This window comes from Homo sapiens, chromosome 4, assembly GCF_000001405.40.
Source record: "Homo sapiens chromosome 4, GRCh38.p14 Primary Assembly".
NCBI classification, from domain to species: Eukaryota; Metazoa; Chordata; class Mammalia; order Primates; family Hominidae; genus Homo; species Homo sapiens.
In genome coordinates this window covers 88,386,633-88,407,098 of record NC_000004.12, presented here as the reverse complement: position 1 = coordinate 88,407,098, position 20,466 = coordinate 88,386,633, and the positions used below count along the sequence as shown (strand labels likewise).

At 41.2% G+C, this 20,466-nt stretch overlaps 1 protein-coding gene across 6 annotated transcripts in view; it reads right to left on the bottom strand.

The window, feature by feature from the left end:
- The window catches only part of HERC6 (HECT and RLD domain containing E3 ubiquitin protein ligase family member 6), a 64,246-nt gene that overhangs the window by 35,999 nt on the left and 7,781 nt on the right, over nt 1-20,466 (bottom strand). For 5 of the 6 annotated variants that reach the window (XM_005263083.5, XM_011532053.4, NM_017912.4 and 2 more), the window contains exons 4-10: nt 16,220-16,447; nt 13,517-13,611; nt 10,957-11,084; nt 10,112-10,248; nt 8,890-8,957; nt 2,102-2,223; nt 1,486-1,545 (exon numbers count right to left, since the gene is read on the bottom strand). In XM_005263083.5, coding sequence (XP_005263140.1) covers nt 1,486-1,545; nt 2,102-2,223; nt 8,890-8,957; nt 10,112-10,248; nt 10,957-11,084; nt 13,517-13,611; nt 16,220-16,447 — 838 coding nt within the window. Of the gene's footprint in view, nt 1-1,485; nt 1,546-2,101; nt 2,224-8,889; nt 8,958-10,111; nt 10,249-10,956; nt 11,085-13,516; nt 13,612-16,219; nt 16,448-20,466 lie in introns of those variants that run through there. The other variant, XM_047415866.1, reaches the window with a different exon arrangement.

The window sequence follows — 20,466 nt, the reverse complement described above, 5'->3', positions numbered from 1 at the left end:
CTCAAAAATATAAATAAAAATAATAAAAATTTAAAAAAGAGGCTGGGCGCGGTGGCTCATGCCAGTAATCCCAGCACTTTGGGAGGCCAAGGTGGGTGGATCACTTGAGGTCAGGAGTTTGAGACCAGCCTGGTCAACATGGTGAAACCCCATCTCTACCAAAAAACATAAAAAATTAGCTGGGTGTGGTGGTGCACACCTGTAATCCCAGCTATTCAGGAGGCTGAGGCAGGAGAATAGCTTGAACTTGGGGGTGGAGGTTGCAGTGAGCCGAGCTGCACTACTGCACTCCGGCCTGGGTGACAGAGTGAGACTTCACCTCTAAATAAATAAATAAATAAATAATAAAAAAACAAAGAAAGATTTTCTCCTTGCTAGATTAACTGATTTATAGTAACATTAGGGCTAAAATATTTATGCAAGTACTAAAACAAAGTATTATAAATTTCCCCCTTAAAATATATTCTCTTTCGCAATCTTTGACATCTTAGGAGTTCCTCACTCCTGGGAAGTGAGCATGGATACTTTTTCACATTAGGAAGAAAACAATCTTCACATAGAAAAGATTTTCCCACATGCAGTAAGAATTAGCCTTAGGTGAAGTTATTGGCATCCAACAGTTCCTCTAATCCCACAAGCTGACTGAGAATGCAGCTGGGTTAAGAACTAATGGGACTGCCAAGAGGGTTGTACAACGGCAAGTAATAGCAACAAGGGTTAAGTGAGTACCACCTAGTGACCAGCAGTGGGTACAAGATGTGTATCACCATATTTTGAACCAGTGAGCAAACTTAACACCAAGTTAACAAGGGAGGGACAGGCAAAGGAGAACCCATATGAGTTACACTAGCTGCAGACAGATCAGCAAGGCATCAACCTCCAAAGAGGCAGAGGGCAGCCTAAGACCCTCTACACTGCTATTTCTCCTTCTCTTCCCTTTTACACACAGGTGCCATATTGGAGAGCTTGGAGGAAAGAGCAGAAATAGAAGACCCAAATATTGAGCATTACAGGAACTGTTTCAACTATTGGATCAGACCAAATGTTAAACCAAATAGGAGTAAAATCAGATTTTCTTCTGTAGCAGTGAGTTAAAGACAACATAAATAAGATCTATTTTTTAATTGATCATACACAGTAAAAATTGTAAAGTGTACTCTTGGCTTCTAAGTACTAAAGCAATGTGAGATTTAGCCGATCCTTTGTATATACAAAGATCCTGAAAAAACACCATTCCTTCTAATCAGACAACAGAGTAAAGTGGTATGAAGGAAGTAAACAATATTAATTAGGAATTATAACTTATGGTAGTCTAATAGAAAATTACTTCATAAAATGAAAGAATTCTATAACAACCTACAGAGTTCTCTGTGTTGGACTTTGTGGGCAAGAATAACAAAATTCACAAATTAAACTTACTTGAAACATTTCATTTTAAATATTTTCCAGTGTTTTAAATGAAGGTAAATCTTATGTAAGTATTACCTTTTCTTTAAAAAACTTGCAGTCAGACAAGCAGGAGATGAAAATATCATTCTAATTTCACTGTAAAAGTAATAACAAGGGGTAAGTCACAACATATAATAAAGCATGCCTTTTGAAAATCTTATTATGTCTGAATAAGTAAATGATGACGTGGAATAATTATTAATGAAAATAACTACTCTCTTAAGAGTCTCCCAAATCCTGGGTATACTTTGTTCATATTATTTCTAAATCTCACCAAAACCCTTTATAGTTGATTTGTTCAAGTCACGTAGGTTTAAATAAAACCTATCCCTGTGAAGACCAAAACTCATAAAACTCCAAAGGGGTAAACTATGAAGATATGAAAACAGTCCACCTTATTAAAGGCTTTGTGAGCTTTTTTGATTCACTCCTGCAACTCCCTCACCTAGTAAGTCACCTGGGATATCACATGTCCTCCATATATCTGTAAATGAGTACACTGATGACCTAGTCACACTAAGAGGCTGTAGAAGAGAATCATGGTCAAAATGCAAATACCTTCACAACAAAACCAAAACCTCTATCTTAGGATAAAATGACCAAAGCCCCAGAACCAGATAAAAGTGGCTTATAATTTATCAGACAGAGCCACCTTTTAGCCATTTCATGTTCAGTACTTCTTCTTTTCACTGCTATCCATTTTTCTGCCATGGACTGGCTAATTCGGCTTATTTCTGGCAGGGTTTTCCCGGGAGCACGTGTGGAACTAGTATCCTTCAGGGAAGGAAGAAACAAGAATGATCAGGAACACACACACGTTCAGTAGTAAATTATACAGTAAATCACCTGGCATGGGTGGTAAATAGGCCCTGCCCTCTTGGGTGGTAGCATTTGGTGGGAGGAGCTTTGGCGTCAGACCGGTAGGGCTATTCCACCTCCTAGCCTGGGCCACTTTGCTTGGTCTGAGCCTTAGTTTCATCATTAAAAAAGAAAAAAAAAAGTGAATGCAGGGCTTCAAACAGATACTTGTAGATCATTATTCACTGCAGCATTATTTACAATAGCCAAAAGATGGAAACAACCCATGTCCATAAACAGATGAATAGATTTTTTAAATATACATAAAATGAAATATTATTCAGCCTTAAAGGAATGAAATTCTGGCTGGCACAGTGGCTCATGCCTGCAATCCCAGCACTTTGGGAGGCTGAGGCAAGCGGATCACCTGAGGTCAGGAGTTTGAAACCAGCCTGGTCAACATGGTGAAACCTTGTCTCTACTAAAAATACAAAAAATTAGCCGGGCATGGTGGTGGTCACCTGTAATCCCAGCTACTCGGGAGGCTGAGGCAGGGGCTTGAGCCTGGGAGGTGGAGGTTGCAGTGAGACAAGATCATACCATTGCACTCCAGCCTGGGCAACAAGAGCGAAACTCCATCTCAAAAAAAAAAAAAAAAGAAATGAAATTCTGACACATGCTACAACATGGATGAATTTTGAAGACAAGCGAATGAAATAAGCCAGATGCAAAATGACAAATATTGTATGATTCCACTTATATGAAGTATCTAGAACAGGCAAATTCATAGAGACAGAAGGTAGATTCAACATTACCTAAAGCTGGGGGCGGAGAGAGGGAATGGGGAGTTATTATTTAATAGTTACAGAATTTCTGTTTGGGGTAATGAAAAAGCCTTGGAGATGGATAATGGTGACAGTTGAACAATATTGTGAAAGTAATTAATGTCACTGTCACTAAATTGTATACTTAAAATGATAAAAATGGCAAATTGTATTTATATATATTTTACCACAATAAATAAAAAGATAATAATACCTACCTCTCTGGGTTCCTTTTTAAAATTTTTTTTATTTTTATTTTATTATTATTATTTTTGAGACAGAGTCTTGCTCTGTCACCCAGGCTGGAGTGCAGTGGCATGATCTTGGCTCACTGCAAGCTCTGTCTCCCAGGTTCACACCATTCTCCTGCCTCAGCCTCCCGAGTAGCTGGGACTACAGGCACCTGCCACTGTGCCCAGCTAATTTTTTGTATTTTTAGTAGAGACGGGGTTTCACCGCGTTAGCCAGGATGGTCTCCATCTCCTGACCTCGTGATCCACCCGCCTCGGCCTCCCAAAGTCCTGGGATTACAGGCTTGAGCCACCTCGCCCGGCCTATCTGGGTTCTTAAGATTCAATTATAGTAAGTATAAAAAGCTTTGGGATTATAATAGGCACTCAATAATTAGTTTTCTTGTTCCCTTTAATCACCCACAAGTGTTTACTTTTATGTCAGTAACTCTCAAATTGTAATGTGCATCCAAATCACCTGGTGGGTGATTCTGGTGAGCTTGTTAAAGTAGATTGCTGGGCTCCACCCCATAGTTTCTGCTTCAGTGGGTCAGGGTAGAGGGTGAGAATTTGCATCTAAAAAATACTCCAGTGATGCTGATGCTGTTGGTTTGGAGATCACACTTTGAGAACCATTGCTCTATATAATACTTGAGACCAAATAGCCCAAACAGGGGTTTCAAAAATCACTGTCTGGAAAGAAAAATCCATTTTCAATACAGTCCTCCAAAGGCATTAGTGCTCTGCTATAACTTATACCTATGCCTCCACTGCACTTGTTATGAGCCAGGAAATCCTGCATCATTTTGGTTTAATGCTGAAATAAAAGACCTCTTGAAGAAGACAGGTAACCACGGCTCTTAAAGTTCCCTTCAGCTTCTTGATCTGAGTCCTGGGTTTTCCCTGTAGTTTGATCAAGAGGAAGAGTTTTTCCCCCCACATCCCAGGAAACTTGGGACAATGAGGTGCTCCCTCTTGGCAGTTACATACCATTTCTTCATTTTCTGCTTCAAAATCCCTAGCTCCTCCCAAATGCACAGCATGAGACTATGTCATCTGCCTCTTCTTGTTTTGTAATCTTCTCCCACTGTCCTGGTCACTCCCCTTCATTCATTGAAAGCTTCGGCACCTTGCTGTCTTCTTCATACCACGATTCCCATGGTCACCCTTCCTGCCCTCACTCTTGGTTACTTCAGAACTGATGAACCTGATCTATCTCCCACCTTCATCTCTCAATTCTTAATCATCTCCACTATTTTCCTCTGCTCCACCCCAGCCACACATGCCCTGGATCAGGGTTTTTAAACTGACACTACTGATATTTTGGGTCAGATAACTGTTTGTTGTGAGCAGCTGTCCTGTGTACCATAGGATGTTTAGTGGTATCACTGGCCTCTGTCTACCAGATGCCAGTAGCAGCCACTCCCAACACCATGCTCTCCCCTAGTTATGACAAACTACAATGTCTCCAGACATTGCCAAATATTTCCCGGAGCATGAAATCACCCCTAGTTGAAAACCACTGCCCTAGATACAGGTGAGAAGCTGGATGTTATAATTATCAATTGTTCCATCTTCTAAATTTCTATTGGAAATGTTCTCTTCTCTGACCATCATACACCATCTTACAGATTCACCTCCTTTAGAGTAAAACCTGCAGTCCAAGATTCTTTTGTCCGCCTGGATCTCCAATCAATTAGCCCTGTTGTTTGTCCATGATTCATCACCCTCTTTCATCCTCCTTACCCAGCTTAGATTCCATGGTTCATCACTATAATCACACCTATAACTCTTTTGTCCATTTCCTATTGTACTTACCTAGCAAAGTTCCATCTGTAATTAAACTTGACTCTGAATTACTCCAAAATCCAACTGAAGCAGCCTAACATCACGGGAGAAAGCTGCACAACTGTGCAGACTGATTTCACTTTAAGTCTATGACCACAGATTTCAAATGGGCACGTGATATTGTCTAATGGATTCCAAGGCTACCTGCTTTTTCCCCAAGACAACTATCACAACCCTTCCTTTTCTTCCTAAACCTTTCATACTCCTCTGCTTAGTCATGCTCAGATGGGGACCTTGTCTTATGCATCACTGAAAATTGAAGCAATTAAGCAAGAACTAATCACCTTCCCACCATCAACCTACCTTCACCTGTACCGTTTCTTATTACAGCAGAATAAACACATCTGTTCAAACCCCTCAATCACGCGTTAGATTCTGCTTCCTCTCTCCTAATCTCAGACATTGCTTCTGCAATTATTCACTGTTTCTCTTTTTTCTTTTCTTTTTTTTTTTTTTTTTGAGATGGAGTCTCGTTCTGTCGCCCAGGCTGGAGTGCAGTGGCGCATCTCAGCTCACTGCAACCTTCGCCTCCCAGGTTCAAGCAATTCTCTGCCTCAGCCTCCCGAGTAGCTGGGATTACAGGTGCCCTCCACCACACCCGGCTAATTTTTGTATTTTTAGTAGAGATGGGGTTTCACCATATTGGCCAGGCTGGTCTTGAACTCCTGACCTTGTGATCCACCCGCCTCGGCCTCCCAAAGTGCTGGGATTACAGGCGTGAGCCACCATGCCTGGCCTATTCACTCTTTCTTATGCAGCATGAGAAACCCTCTCGCAGTTCTCTATTCTCTTCACATCAAAATTTCTCAGAGTTGTCACAGGCATTGTTTGCACTTGTTCCCCTTTTATTCTCTGTCCAGCCCACTCGGGTCAGGTTTCCTTCTCTCTCCTCTGCAATAACACAATCTTACCAAAGCAAAAATAAACTATGCACTGGTCTTACTTGACCACTCGGCTGTATTTGACAGAATTAGCCACTTTCTCCTTCTGGAAATACAGCAGTCCCCCCTTATCCATGGGGGATGTGTTCCACCAAGACCCCCAGTGGATGCCTGAAACCATAAATAATACCAAACTCCATATTGACTGTTTTTTCCTGTTCATCCATACATATGATCAAGTTTAATGTATAAATTAAGCACAGTAAGAGATTAATACCAATAACTAATAACAAAATGAAACAATTATAACAATTTACTGTAATAAAACATATGTAAACGTGGTGCCCCTGTCTTTCTCTCAGAATAGTTTATTATACTGTATTCACCCTACTTCTTGTGATGAAGGGATGAAGTGGAATGGTGTGAGATTTCATCATGCCACCCAGAACATGTCATTTAAAATTTATGAGTTGTTTATTTCTGAATTTCCCATTTAATATTTTTAGACCACAGTTGAATGTGGATAACTGAAACTGTGAAAAGCAAAACTGTAGATAAGAGGTACTACTGGGAGCCAGGCACGGTGGTATACACCTGTAATCCCAGCACTTTGCCAGGCCAAGGTGGGCAGATCACTTGAGCTCAAGAGTTCAAGACCAGCCTGAGCAACATGGCGAAACGCCGTCTCTACAAAAAAAAACCAGCTGGGCATTGTGGTGTGCGCCTGTAGCCCTGGCTACTCGGGAGGCTGAGGCGAGAGGATGGCTTAAGCCTAGGAATTTGAGGCTGCAGTGAGCCAAGACTCCAGCCTGGGTAACAGAGTGAGACCCTGTCTCAAAACAACAAAAAAACAAGCAAACAAACAAACAAACAAAAACAAAAGAGAGGACCTCCATACAGGTGCTTTCTTCTCTTGGCTTGTTTGGCCAGTCTCTAGGTCTCCTTTCCAAGCACATTTCAGATGGGTCCCCCCTCACATAGCTGACCCCAGCATACAGAACTGGCTCCATCTTGTCGAGCTCTTTGTCCTTTCTTCCTATGGTTCTGCCTCACTGGCCTTCTGTCACACACACCAAACTCATTCTTGCCTCACAGGCTTTCTGTGTGCAGTTCCCTCTGCTCTGAGCATTCTTTCTCTGGACCTAAGCATGGCTAAAATCTCTGCTCAACTGTCACAGCCTCTACAAGGCCTTTTCTGACAGACATTTCTAAAGAAGGCCACCTCACCAATCTCAAACAATCAATGTGTTTTCTTCAGAGTACTTGTCACTATCTAATACAATTTTTTTTTTTTTTTTTGGAGACAAAGTGTTGCCCTGTGCGCCAGGCTGGAGTGCATGGCACGATCTCAGCCCACTGCAACCTCCACTCCTGGGTTCAAACAATTCTCCTGCCTCAGCCTCCCAAGTAGCTGGGATTACAGGCTCGTACCACCACTCCCAGCTAGTTTTTGTGTTTTTACTAGAGATGGGGTTTGACCACATTGGCCAGGCTGGTCTCGAACTCCTGACCTCAAGTGATCCGCCTGCCTCGGCCACCCAAAGCGCTGGGATTACAGGCGTGAGCCACCATGCCGGGCCTCTAATACAATCTTATTTATTTTGCATTTACATATTTATGGTCCGGCCCTGCCTGTGGAGTCCAAATGCTATGAATGAGGGTAACTTTGTCTGTACTATTCACTTTTGTCCCAGGCACCAAGAGCAGAGCCTGATATATAAAAAGGGTCTCAATTTTTGTTGAGTGGCTGATTGAATGGCTATGATAGAGCAACCAAAGTATAGTCTCCTAACTATCCCAACAGCACAGAAACCTTTGCCTCTGACCACATTCTGTGCCAGGGACTACAGACAGAGTCTATTATGTTTCTAATTTGTACTTTTTCCTGTCGTCAGGAATGTTTTAAACATCAAGTTTAAACATCAATTTTAAAACATTCCTCATAATAGGAAAAAGTACAAATTAGAAAAATAACTATGAAGGCCTTTGTTTCCATAAACATATTTCAGAACTCACCCAGAAATGTAATAATAAAATCCCTCCTGTTAACAATTAGGAAGGCACTATAGCATGGTGGATAATGGTGTAAGCTACTGGGTTGGACTGCCTGGATTTGAATCCAGCTCTACCACTTACTAACAGTGCAACTTTGCATAAATTCACCTCTCTGAGACTCCGTTTTTTCATCTGTCAATGTGAAAAATAAAATCAACGAGAGTTGATATGAGCATTAAACATCTTGATCCATTTGAAGAACTTCGATTGCTGCCTGACACTTGGTGACTGCAGTTAAAATTAGTCATGACTGTTATCTATCATCATTAATTTTATTAAGCAATAAACTTGAGTTGGGGACTCGGTGATGTGACCCTTGCAACACAGGACAGCTGAGACGCTACATGCCACCCCTGCTACACACACCCCTGCACACTCACACACATGGCAATCCTCCTACTGAAGGAGGTGCCACTGGGAAATTCCCTCCAGGACATGTCAGAAACCCTTCCTTCACAGTCCTGGACAGGGAAAATTCAGTTCCCTCCTGAAGATGGAAACAGCTGCTGTTGACACAAGTTACATGTGTATGTGCATTTACATGATGCAAATTCAACAAACACACTTACCCATAAAGAAAAAATAAATCTGAAATGGTGGTGGTGGGGGGGTCTAATCTGTTAGGAAAGTTGACAAATAAGGAAGTGAGAATTATGTAATATTTTTTTCATAAGCATTCTAATATAGGACCTTATTGTTTTAGTAAAAGACCTGAATATGTATGAATAATACAGTATTTCAAATACCGGTCTGAAATCTTGAGAAAAAATAATTTTTAAGAGGAACAAAAAGTATAATAGATACCTGATGAGTTGTCACAAAGTTGGCATATGTTCCAGCAAAAATGTGTTTGACTTGAACATCCACGAAGTCTAAAAGAAAGTCATAAATCCATGCTTAGAGTTTCTAGAAGTAAAAATAAATCTGATGTATTATCAAGCCAAAAATTTATTTACTTACTGGCAATTTATATTCTCCTAAATGGATTTTGACTACAAATGCATAAAAGATTAATTTTTTTCTTTTTTTCCCTCCCATCATATTGAAATAAAAGATCAGTTTTGATCAGATTACATGTCATATATTCACTTAGTCTAAAATTTAGTTTTTCATGCACTTGCATAATGCAGCCAGGTGGCCATGCTTTAGAAGAGATTTGATTAAATATATGAAAGTGGATTGTTCTGGTTGCTTCTTTACTTTCTTAATAAACTTGCTTTCACTTTATGGAAAAAAAGTGTATTGTTCTGATGTTTAAGTAATCAAGTTAGGATAGTCTTCTGTATTACCTTAATCTTTTTTATTTTATTATTTTATTTTATTTTTTTGAGATGGAGTCTCACCCTGTTGCCCAGGCTGGACGATCTCGGCTCACTGCAACCTCCACCTCCTTGGTTCAAGGGGTTCTCCTGCCTCAGCCTCCTAGGTAGCTGGGATTACAGGCTTGCACCACCACGCCCGGCTAATTTTTATATTTTTACTAGAGACGGGTTTCACCCTGTTGGCCAGGCTGGTCTTGAACTTACCTTAATCTTTAGAAATGATTACCAAATACCCTAAGAGTCACTGCATAAGAAAAAAATGCACCATATATATATGTACAGCCAGGCGCGGTGGCTCATGCCTGTAATCCCAGCACTTTAGGAGGCCGAGGCTGGTGGATCCCCTGAGGTCAGGAGTTCAAGACCAGTCTGACCAACACGGAGAAACCCCATCTCTACTAAAAATACAAAATTAGCCAGGCATGGTGGCGCATGCCTGTAATCCCAGCTACTCAGGAGGCTGAGGCAGGAGAATCGCTTGAACCCAGGAGGCGGAGGTTATGGTGAGCCAAGATCACGTCATTGCACTCCAGCCTGGGCAACAAGAGCGAAACTCCATCTCAAAAAAAAATAAATAAATAAAAATAAAAATAAAAGTACTAGGGGAACTACAGTTCTGTAGGATCCTTTGAAAGGAAGCTGAATACTAGTTCTCTTCCAGTGGCATTGATGAACACAAAATCATGAATTAGTGGGATTCACACCTTCAGCAGAAATCAGGCAGCTAATGTCAAAGTTCTCTGTCAGGGCCTCCGGATGAGTTGGCTTGCTTGTGTCACTTGGTCCATGACCAAAAGATACCACCTGACCAGTGGTGTGCACATATGCCAGGGTGTGATAACTACAGGAAAGAGAATACACCATAATGAAGACTAAGGCACTCATGGCTTTTGAGAAAGATGATGTCCCTTAAGACAAAATAACAAACACAAAAAGCCCAATTTACTTTTACTAAGTACGCAGCTCCCTTATCACAATGTCAGTGTTAGAGGGCATCAAAGGATGTGGCTAAACAGACGGTCAGTCAATATTAACTTACTACTAATCTTAAAAACAGAATGTTATTGATAGGTCTTTACTATGGTTTCTATCATTTGTGTTCTAAATGCAGGCATTTCTATTTTTTTTCTTTTTTAATGCATTGGGTAGATATTTAAACACTCAAAGTGTCCTCATAATTAGGTTACGCAGAACTCCGAAAATATATATGTAAATATACATCATCTTCTGCATGCATGAGATTAATTTACTTTAATTTTGTCTTATCAACTTAAGCAGGAAAGCTCTGCTATTTTTATCAATCTACTTCCCATTCTCCAGCACCTGGTACAGTGTTCTATACACAGTAGACTTCCAATTATTTCTTATTAAATAAATAAAATATCTAGAATAAAGATTAAAAACTGAAAAATTAAACTATATTTGAAATAAGTAAATTTTCAGGCAGGAATTTTAAGGTTTGATAACATTCCATATGAGTCATTTCTAAGTAATAAAATATAACACTTTCTACACATGCTAAGAAAAAGAAGAAGAAGAAGCCTATTACCTTCCACAATCTATCTGCGAAACTAGGCCATCAATTCTTTCCACAAGTTGTGGACCTCTCTTCTCAGGAGTGGGGCTGTATCCCAGCTGTCCAGAGCGATTGTCTCCAAATGTGAACACTTTCCCGTCCTGCTTAGCAAAGGAAGAATCAAATTAATTTCAGGTTTAACAAGGTAACTAAAAGCTTACTGATTAAGTGTCATACAAGAGTTAATACGGGAGCACTCTGTGAAACACAAGCTCTACATAAATAGGAGAGATCCTTTATTTTTTCTAATAGTGTATGTTGAGTTAACACATTAAACATGAAAAATCACTGGGGTCAGGCACAGTAGCTCACACCTGTAATACCAGCACTTTGGAAGGCTGTGGCAGGAGAATTACTTGAGGCCAGGAGTTTGAGACCAGCCTGGCCAATATAGCAAGACCCAATCTCTACACAAATTTAAAAAAAAAAAATCATTAGCATTTCCTTAAAAACTGGGCACCTTGGTGATGTATTGTACAGCATGGTGACTATAGTTAATAATGTGTTTCATATATGAAAATTACTAAGAGAGTAGATCTTAAAGATTCTAATCACAAAAAAAGATATGTATGTGAGGTGATACATATGTTAACTAGCTTGATTGTGGTAATCATTTCACAATGTACACAGGTATTAAAACATAATATTGTATAGCATAAACATATACAATTTTTGTCAATTATACCATAATAAAGCTGGAAAAAGAAAGAATTAGGTACTTAATAAGTCTTTATTGAATGAATAGATAAATTAACTGGTTCAAGAGTAAAACCAACATTTAAGTATGAGGTTGAATTTATTTGAGCATTTTCCTAAAAATACTGTCTTCCCAAAACATTCTATGATTACAAACAACTCTAGCTTTCTCTTTATTTCTATTTATTCTATTTATTTCTATTTATTCTTTATATTGAGAATAATATAATCCAAACAATTGAGGGTTTTCTAATTTAAGATATGCATTTAAAACAAACAAAAATAATTGGGGGCATATAGTTTTTAAACAAACATTTCAACTACACAAGTAGTTTTCAAGTCTATTCCTTATGGCTCCAGAAAGAATCCATCCCTTTGGAATATATTGTATGGTGAGGACAAGAATGGGAAGAAAACATTCAGGAAGCTGTGTCATACCTATGCCAAGCAAGAAATGAAATGAAATAATGTTCTAGGCTGTAAAGTGGATTATTGAAAACTGTAAAAATTACTTTGTTGCTTCTATAATAATTTTTATCTGTAGAATCACATTGTCAATGAATAATTGCTAAAGGGGCCGGGCGCAGTGGCTCATGCCTGTAATCTCAACACTTTGGGAGGCTGAGGTGGGTGGATCATTTGAGGTCAGGAGTTTGATACCAGCCTGGCCAACATGGTGAAACCCTGTCTCTACTAAAAATACAAAAATTAGCCAGGCGTGGTGGCACACGCCTGTAATCCCAGCCACTTGGGAGGCTGAGGCAGGAGAATTGCTTGAACCTGGGAGGCGAAGGTTGCAGTGAGCCGAGATTGCACCACTGCACTCCAGCCTGGGCGACTGAGCGAGATTCTGTCTCAAAAAATAATAATAATAATAATAATAATAATAATTGCTAAAAGGGATTAGTTCCTGTATTAACCTAATTTTTTTTTTTTTTTTTTTTTGGACAGGAGAGTCTTGCTGTGTCAACCAGGCTGGAGTGCAGTGGCACGATCTTGGCTCACTGCAACCTCTGACTCCTGGGTTCAATTGATTCTCCTGCCTCAGCCTCCCAAGTAGCTGGGACTACAGGTGCCCGTAACCATGCCCAGCTAATTTTTGTATTTTTAGTAGAGATGGGATTTCACTATGTTGGCCAGGCTGGTCTTGAACTCCTGACCTCGTGATCTGCCCGCCTTGGCCTCCCAAAGTGCTGGGATTATAGGCATGAGCCACCACACCCAGCTATTAACCTAATTTAGTAGGTATCTAAAGATACTTCCTAAAGCTGAAATTAGCTTTTGTTATGTATCTTGAAAACCTTATGATTTATGTTTGGTTCACATCTCCTCTTTAGATATGTGTACACTGAATGGCTCTGTCTAGATATTGGTATATATATCTTATGCTACAGTCTGAATGTTTGCATCCCCCCAGAATTCATATGTTGAAGTCCTAAACCTCAATGCCATGATATTAGGAGATGGGGCCTTTGATAAATGATTAGGTCATGAAGGCAGAACCCTCATCAATGGGATTAGTGCCCTCACAAAAGAGGCCCAGGAAGGACCCCTCACTCCCTTCACTATGTGAGGACACAGTGAAAATATGGTATCTGTGAATGAGAAGTTTGGCCCTCATCAGACATCAAATCTGCTGGCACCTTGATTTTGGACTTCCCAGCCTCCAGAACTATGGGAAATAGATCTCTATTGTTCATAAGCCACTCTTTTTATGGTATTTTGTTATAGTGGCCCAAATGGGCTAATGTCTCTGTCTTTCAACAATAATTAGTACATATGTATCTTGTTACCATTTCTCTGGAACTCAAAAAAATAGCAACACGTTTTGGATTACCTGGGTAAGCACCGCAGTGTGTGCATCACCACAGCTGATATAAACCACACCTAGATTCTTCAGTGCACCGACTGAGAGAGGCTTGTTGCTTTGCACTGTTGAAAGAAAGCAGAATCTCTAGAGTATAAGAAACAGACTCAGATTTCATGACTATTTACATTTTAATATCTTTTTATATTTCTTTTTTTGTGTAAGAGATATATTTTATTATTCTTATAATTCACTAACATAGTTTTCAGATTTCATGAGTATTTATATTTTTAATATCTTTTTTTTTTATGTAAGGGGTATCTTTTATATCTTTTCTTATTTTTATAATTCATTAACATAATTTTAAAAGTAAACAATCCGAAGTATAAGACAGAGGAAAAACCCTACCTTGGGAGAGAAAAAAAGAAGTGCTCCTTCAACATTTATTTCTGGAAGCTATCTAATCTTCCGGAATGCCCGAGGCTATTGACCTAGAAAGCTAAGCTTCAAGACCCTCATGCCTGATACTACTGCCATCTGTTGTATTCATTTGTCAACCTAAAATAACAACAGAGAGGCTCTCAAAGAACAAGTTTATTTGGGAATGAATGATGGGATTACAATCCAGGATATGCATGCCATAGCAGGCCATGGGCATATCTGGGGAGGTTGAGGCAAGGGGGAACTTCTAAAGGCAAAAAGGAGAAGTACACATAGGTTATTTCGAAACAAGTTCATTGGTTACAAGGAATTATTGCAGGCAGTGACATGTGTACTGGCCATTGCTAGAAGAGCGTCTTCAAATAAGCCACCCTGACTGCAAGGCTGCCATTTAGTAAGGTTACTTGCAAGGCTGCAGTTAGGAAACACTGCTACTGGAAAGACGTCCTCATAGAGGTGGCCTTAACTGCAAGGTTGTGGTTTTGGTAGAGTCCTCTGGGGTAGTTATTATCAGGCAGCTCTGTGTGAGGATCCTCCCTTCATGCCCCCAGGCCACCCAACTCCATTTTATTAGGGTTTGAAATAAGTGACTCCATATTGATTCTGACAATTTTCACATATTTCTGTCACACAATAGATGCTCTGCAAATGTATTATAAAAATTGAGATGATAAGAAAAACTGGTCAGGCATGGTGTCTCACACCTGTAATCCCAGTGCTTTGGGAGGTTGAGGCGGGTGGATCACTTGAGCGCAGGAGTTCAAAACCAGCCTGGGCAACATGGTGAAACCCCAAGGCTATTGACCTAGAAAGCTAAGCTTCAAGACCCTCATGCCTGATACTACAAAAAATACAAAAATTAGCTGGGTGTGGTGGTGTGTGCCTGTGAGCCCAGCTACTCGGGAGCTGAGATTCCAGTGAGCTGAGATCACACCACTGCACTCCAGCCTGGGCAACAGAGTGAGACCTTGTCTGAAGAAAAGAAAAGAAAAAAGAAAGAAGAGAAGGGAAGAGGACAGAAGGGAAGACAGGGGAGGAGAGGGGAAGGGAGGGGAGAGGGGGAACGGAAGGGGAGAAGGGGAGGGGGGAGTGGAGGGGAGAAGGGGAGGGGAGGAAGGGGGAGGGGAGGGAGGGAGAGAAGGGGAGGGGAGGGAGAGAAGGGGAGGGGAGGGAGAAGGGGAGGGGAGGGAAGGGAAAGGGAGGGGAAAGGAGTGGGGAGGGGAGGAAAAGGGAAAGGAAAAGGAAAGGAAAGGAAAGAAAAACTTAGCTAATGCTGAAATGGTGAAATGAAACAAGGTATAAGTGCTCAGCATGGGACTGGCACAGGTTAGGTGTTAACTGTATGTTAGCTGACTGTAAGGAATTGAATAGAGGAGGATGGAGTTTGTGGGGAGTACATCTTGACGAGTTTTGTGTTCAGAGGAACTGGTTGTTTAGAGAAGTTTTCTTTTGCCTAGAGGAACTGGTTGTTTGACCTAATGTTAGCAGTCTCCTAGTCCAGCAGTTTCTAAACTTTGCTGCAAATTGGCATCAACTGTGAGGTCTCTAATGACGATGGATGCTTCTGGGTTTCACCCCCAGACATTCTGATTTAATAGGTATGGGGTCTGACCTGGGCATCGGGATTTTTAAAGGATCCTATGGTAGGCTGAATAATGGCCTCCCAAAGAATAATGGTCTCCCACTTCCTAATCCTGGAGCCTGTAAATATGTTAAGTTACATGGCAGAGTGAAGTTACGGAAACCGATGGAACTAAAGTTGTTAATCAGTTGACCTTAAAACAAGGGAGATGCGCCTGGATTATCCAGGTGAGCACACTGTAATCAAGGGTCTTTTAACTGAGGAAGAGGGAGGCAGAAGAGTCTATGTGAAAGTAATGTGACTTGAGAAAGACTTGATCAGCCACTGCTAGCTTTGAAGAAGAAAGAGGTCTATGAGTCAATTAATGCAGGTGGCCTTTAGAAGCTGGGGAAGGCACGAAAATGGATTCTCCCTCAGAGCCTGTAGGGAAGAAGGTAACCTGCTAACACCTTGACTTTAGCACAGTGAGACGTGTGTCAGAATCCTGACCTCCAGAACTACATGATAGTACATTTGTGTTGTTTTAAGCTGCTAGGTTTGAGATGATTTGTTACCGCTACAACAAGAAACTAATATAGCTCCCTAGGCTATTCGAATGTGTCACAAGTTTGGGAACCACTGTTTTAAGCGTTAAGACTGCCCTTTGCCAAGTTGGTCTTCCACCTGGAAAGAAAGAATGATTTACTGCACAAACAAGACTATCTCCTTACCTGGGACATTACGCCCACTGAGGGCCAGCTGCCCGGCACTGTTACTTCCCCAGCCAAACGAAGTCCCACAGAGAGACAGGGCAAAGCTGTGAGCCCCTCCGGCAGCCACCTGAGCCAGTGGGATCCCCTCCAGGGACCTCACCCTCTGCGGGCTGGCTTGGGAGGGGAACTCCTTCCCCAAGCCCAGCTGCCCATGGCTGTTCTTTCCCCACGAAAACACTTGGCTATCTACAACAAAGACGAGAAATTAAGAATTGTACACATATTAGAATACCAAATTCAAATAGAAACTACTAATTCTACAAATCTTTTTTGTGGCTTTAATGAGGGATAATTGACAAATAAAAATTTCATCTATTTAAGGTATACAATATGATGAGCTGAAATACATATACATTGTTAAATGATTGTCGCAATCAGCTAATTAACATATCCATCACCTCACATAGTTACCTTTGTGTGTGTGTGTGGTGAGAATACTTAAGATCTACCCTCTTAGCAAACTTCAAGTATACAATGTACTATTATTAACTATATAGTCACATGGCTGTACATTAGAAATTACTCACCTTATAACTGAAAGTTTATACCCTTTGACCCACATCTTCTGATTTCCCCCCAACCCCCAGCCCCTGGCAACTACCTTTCTACTCTCTGTTTTTATTGAGTTTGACTTTCTTTTTTTTTTTTTTTTTTTTTTTTGATACAGAGTTTCATTCTGTCATCCAGACTGGAGTGCAGGGTGCGATCTTGGCTCACTGCAAACTCCACCTCCTGGTTTCAAGCGATTCTCCTGCCTCAGGCTCCTGAGTAGCTGGGATTACAAATGCGTGCCACCACGCCCGGCTAATTTTTGTGCTTTTTTAGTAGAGATGGGGTTTCACCATGTTGGCCAGGTTGATGTCGAACTCCTGACCTCAGGTGATCCACCTGCCTCAGCCTCCCAAAGTGTTGGGATTACAGGCATGAGCTACCGTGCCTGGCTGAGTTTGACTTTCTCAGATACTACAGCTAAGTGAGACCATGAGGTATTTGTCTTTCTGTGTCTGGCTTATTTCACTTAGCATGATGTCTTCCAAGTTGCAAATGGTAGGATTTCCTTCTATTTCTATTCTACTTCTATTTAATTTTACAAATCTTTAAAAGGTAAAACAGAGATGAAGAAAAAAATGAGATTAAAGTATCCCAACTAAAGGCAAGCGGGGCGGTCCAGGTCACCTTCAAAAGTCCCTTCAAACAATGTCCACTCTTCTCCCTCCAGTTAAGGGCAGCTGTGTTCTTTCAGCTGCTCAGGCCAAAAATCTTACAGATATCCTTAACTCTTCTCTTTTACACCCTTTGACCCAGAAAATTCAAAACTTCTACCCTCAAAATCTATCCAGAATCCAACCATTTCTCACCTCTCCACTGCTACCACCTTAGCCAAGTCACCAACTTTTCTCTCCTAAAAAATGACAATAGCACCTCACTGATCTCCCTGAGGCAACCTTTGCCCCCATCAGTTTGTTCTCCAAAGAATAGCCAGAGTGATCCTTTTAAAAATCTAAGTCCAACTGAATACTTCAGGAGCTTGCTGTCTCACTCAATGACGGACCAACTCCCATCACAGACCCCACATCACCAGTCTGGCCCACCCCCACTTCCCGGACTTCATCTCCCCCTGCTCACTCCTCTCAAGACCCTTTGCTATTCCTGGAGTACACTTCTGAGCATGCCCCAACCCCATGGCCTTTGTGTCTGGGTAATTCTTTCATGGTTAGCATCCTATCTCTCCCTCCCTTTTCATTTGGTTTCTGCTCATATGTCACCTTTTGAGAGATATCTTCCCTGACCGCCTCATAAACTAGAAAGACTCCTTTCCTCCACCCAGGTACTCACTCTCTGTCCCCTTACTCTTGAAGGGGTACCAAACCAATATATCTCATCCCACTTCTTTAACATATTTCAAGATGGCTATTCAGTAGGGCTGGAAGTGCAAGCATAGCTAAAAAGCTGTCTTTTGTGTGGGAGATTTGCACCTGTACAGAAAATCTGCATTGATGCAGGCAGGCTTTCTCTGAGGCCCTCCCGTGTCTGATCTAGGAAAGATTAACTGAGAGTCCCACACCTCTAAAGGTCTGGAAGAAACATTCACCATCTATTCTCTTTGAGGGCTGCTACCTGTAAGCCTTCATCTACACAACAGGACCACCTCTGCCTCAAGATGGTATATAAGCTTCTCTACCCCATTGGAGCATTGGGGTAATTGCTCTATGGTTCTCCCCTATGCATATTAATAAATTAATATGTCTTTTCTCCTATTAATCTGTCTTTTTTTTTTTTTTTTTTTTGAGACGAGTCTTGCTCTGTCACCCAGGCTTGAGTGCAATGGCACAATCCCAGCTCACTGCAACCTCTGCCTCCCAGGATCAAGTGATTCTCCTGCCTCAGTCTCCCAAGTAGCTAGGATTGCAGGTACCTGCCACCATGCCCGGTTAATTTTTGTATTTTTAGTAGAGACGGGGTTTCCTCATGTTGGCCAGGCTGGTCTTGAACTGCTGACCTCAGGTGATCCACCCACCTCGGCTTCCTAAAGTCCTGGGATTACAGGCATGAGCCACCGTGCCCAGCCTATATTTTTAGTAGAGACAGGGTTTCACCATGTTGGCTAGGCTGGTCTCGAACTCCTGGCCTCAAGTGATCCCCTTCCAGAGTGCTGGGATTACAGGCGTGAGCCACCGCACCCAGCCAGAAAAAAAAAATCTAATCTAAGCTTATCTAATGCCTAAGTATATACCCAGTGAAATGCTAACATATCTCAGAGATTTTTTAATAAGTTATTACATCTTTTATTTTTTAACTCTTCTAAAGTTAATTTCTAACACTAAAAATAATTTTGAGGGCAAAATGCAAAACGTTAAACTCTCACGAAGGTCTATGAGAACTCACCTTTCACCATAGCAAATGCATTGAATGCCTGGGCTCTGCCCAGACTTTACAGTCCAGACCAATGCAAAGGCAAGTCAGTGCCCCAAGGAAAGAATTCACACCATGTCCATAATTAAGAAGGAGTGTGAGAAAGGAAAAGACGTTCCTATTTATGGTGCCTCTGCTATATGCTAAGGACTGTACAAGGTATACAGGGTATCTTCTCTCACTCAATCTTCTAAATAACCTTCAAGTTAGGTATCAATATTCCCACAGATGAGAAAATTGAGACTCAGCCAAGTTAAATAACTTGCCCATGATCAAACAGCTAGAAATGACAGGTAGAAGGAATCACACAATGGCCACGGGATATGCCCTGGATTTGTAGTCAGTGCAGCGTAGTAGTTAAGCACTTAGGGTTGAGACCTAAACACTATAGGTTCAAATCCTGACTATTCTGTTTCTTAGTGTGTAACTTTGGGTAAATAATTTAAAATCCCTGAACTCAATTTTTTCCATTTCTGAAATGAGGATATAAATCATACCCTGCTCCTGTTTTCGTTTGTTTTTCTTTTTCAGAAACAGTCTTACTCTGTCGCCCAGCCTGGAATGCAGTGGCACAATCATAGCTCACTGCAGCTTCAAACTCCTGAGCTCGAGCACTCCTCCAACTTCAGCCCCCTGATTAGTTGGAACTACAGGTGCATACCACCATGCCCAGCTAATTTTTCAAATTTTTGTAGAGACAGGATCTCACTATGTTGGCCAGGCTGGTCTCAAACTCCTGGCCTCAAGTGATCCTCCTGCTTCAGCCTCCCTAAGTGCTGGAAATACAGGTGTGAGCCACTATGCCCAGCCCAGTTCATGTGTTTGTAAGGTAATTATGTGAAAAAACACACATAAAACATTTAACATGGCAGCTGGCACATAGAAGCTGACCAATAAATGTTAGCTGTCCATAGACCATGGCACAGTTGCAATGACACATAAGACATTACCTGAGGAACATACAAATGTTATAGTCCTTTGAAGGGGGTCAGGATATGCCACACCAAAATATGCTACTTTGGCATAAGGATTGTTTTGAGTTGAAGGCAATTGAGAATTAAGAGATGCAGGAAGAGGTTTCTGCCCCTCTCTTACCTGCCTAAAAGCAAGGCATAAGTTTCCCTTTGTGGAGTTATCTCCACTCTACTGTACCAGGGAGAGAAGAGTAACTTTTATCACTGAAGACAATGAAGCAGCACTGAGATGAATCTGCAGAAACGAATCTTACTAAAATATCCCGTATCTTCCATTGGTTTCCCTATATATTTCCTAGTCACTTTCCCACAATTTAT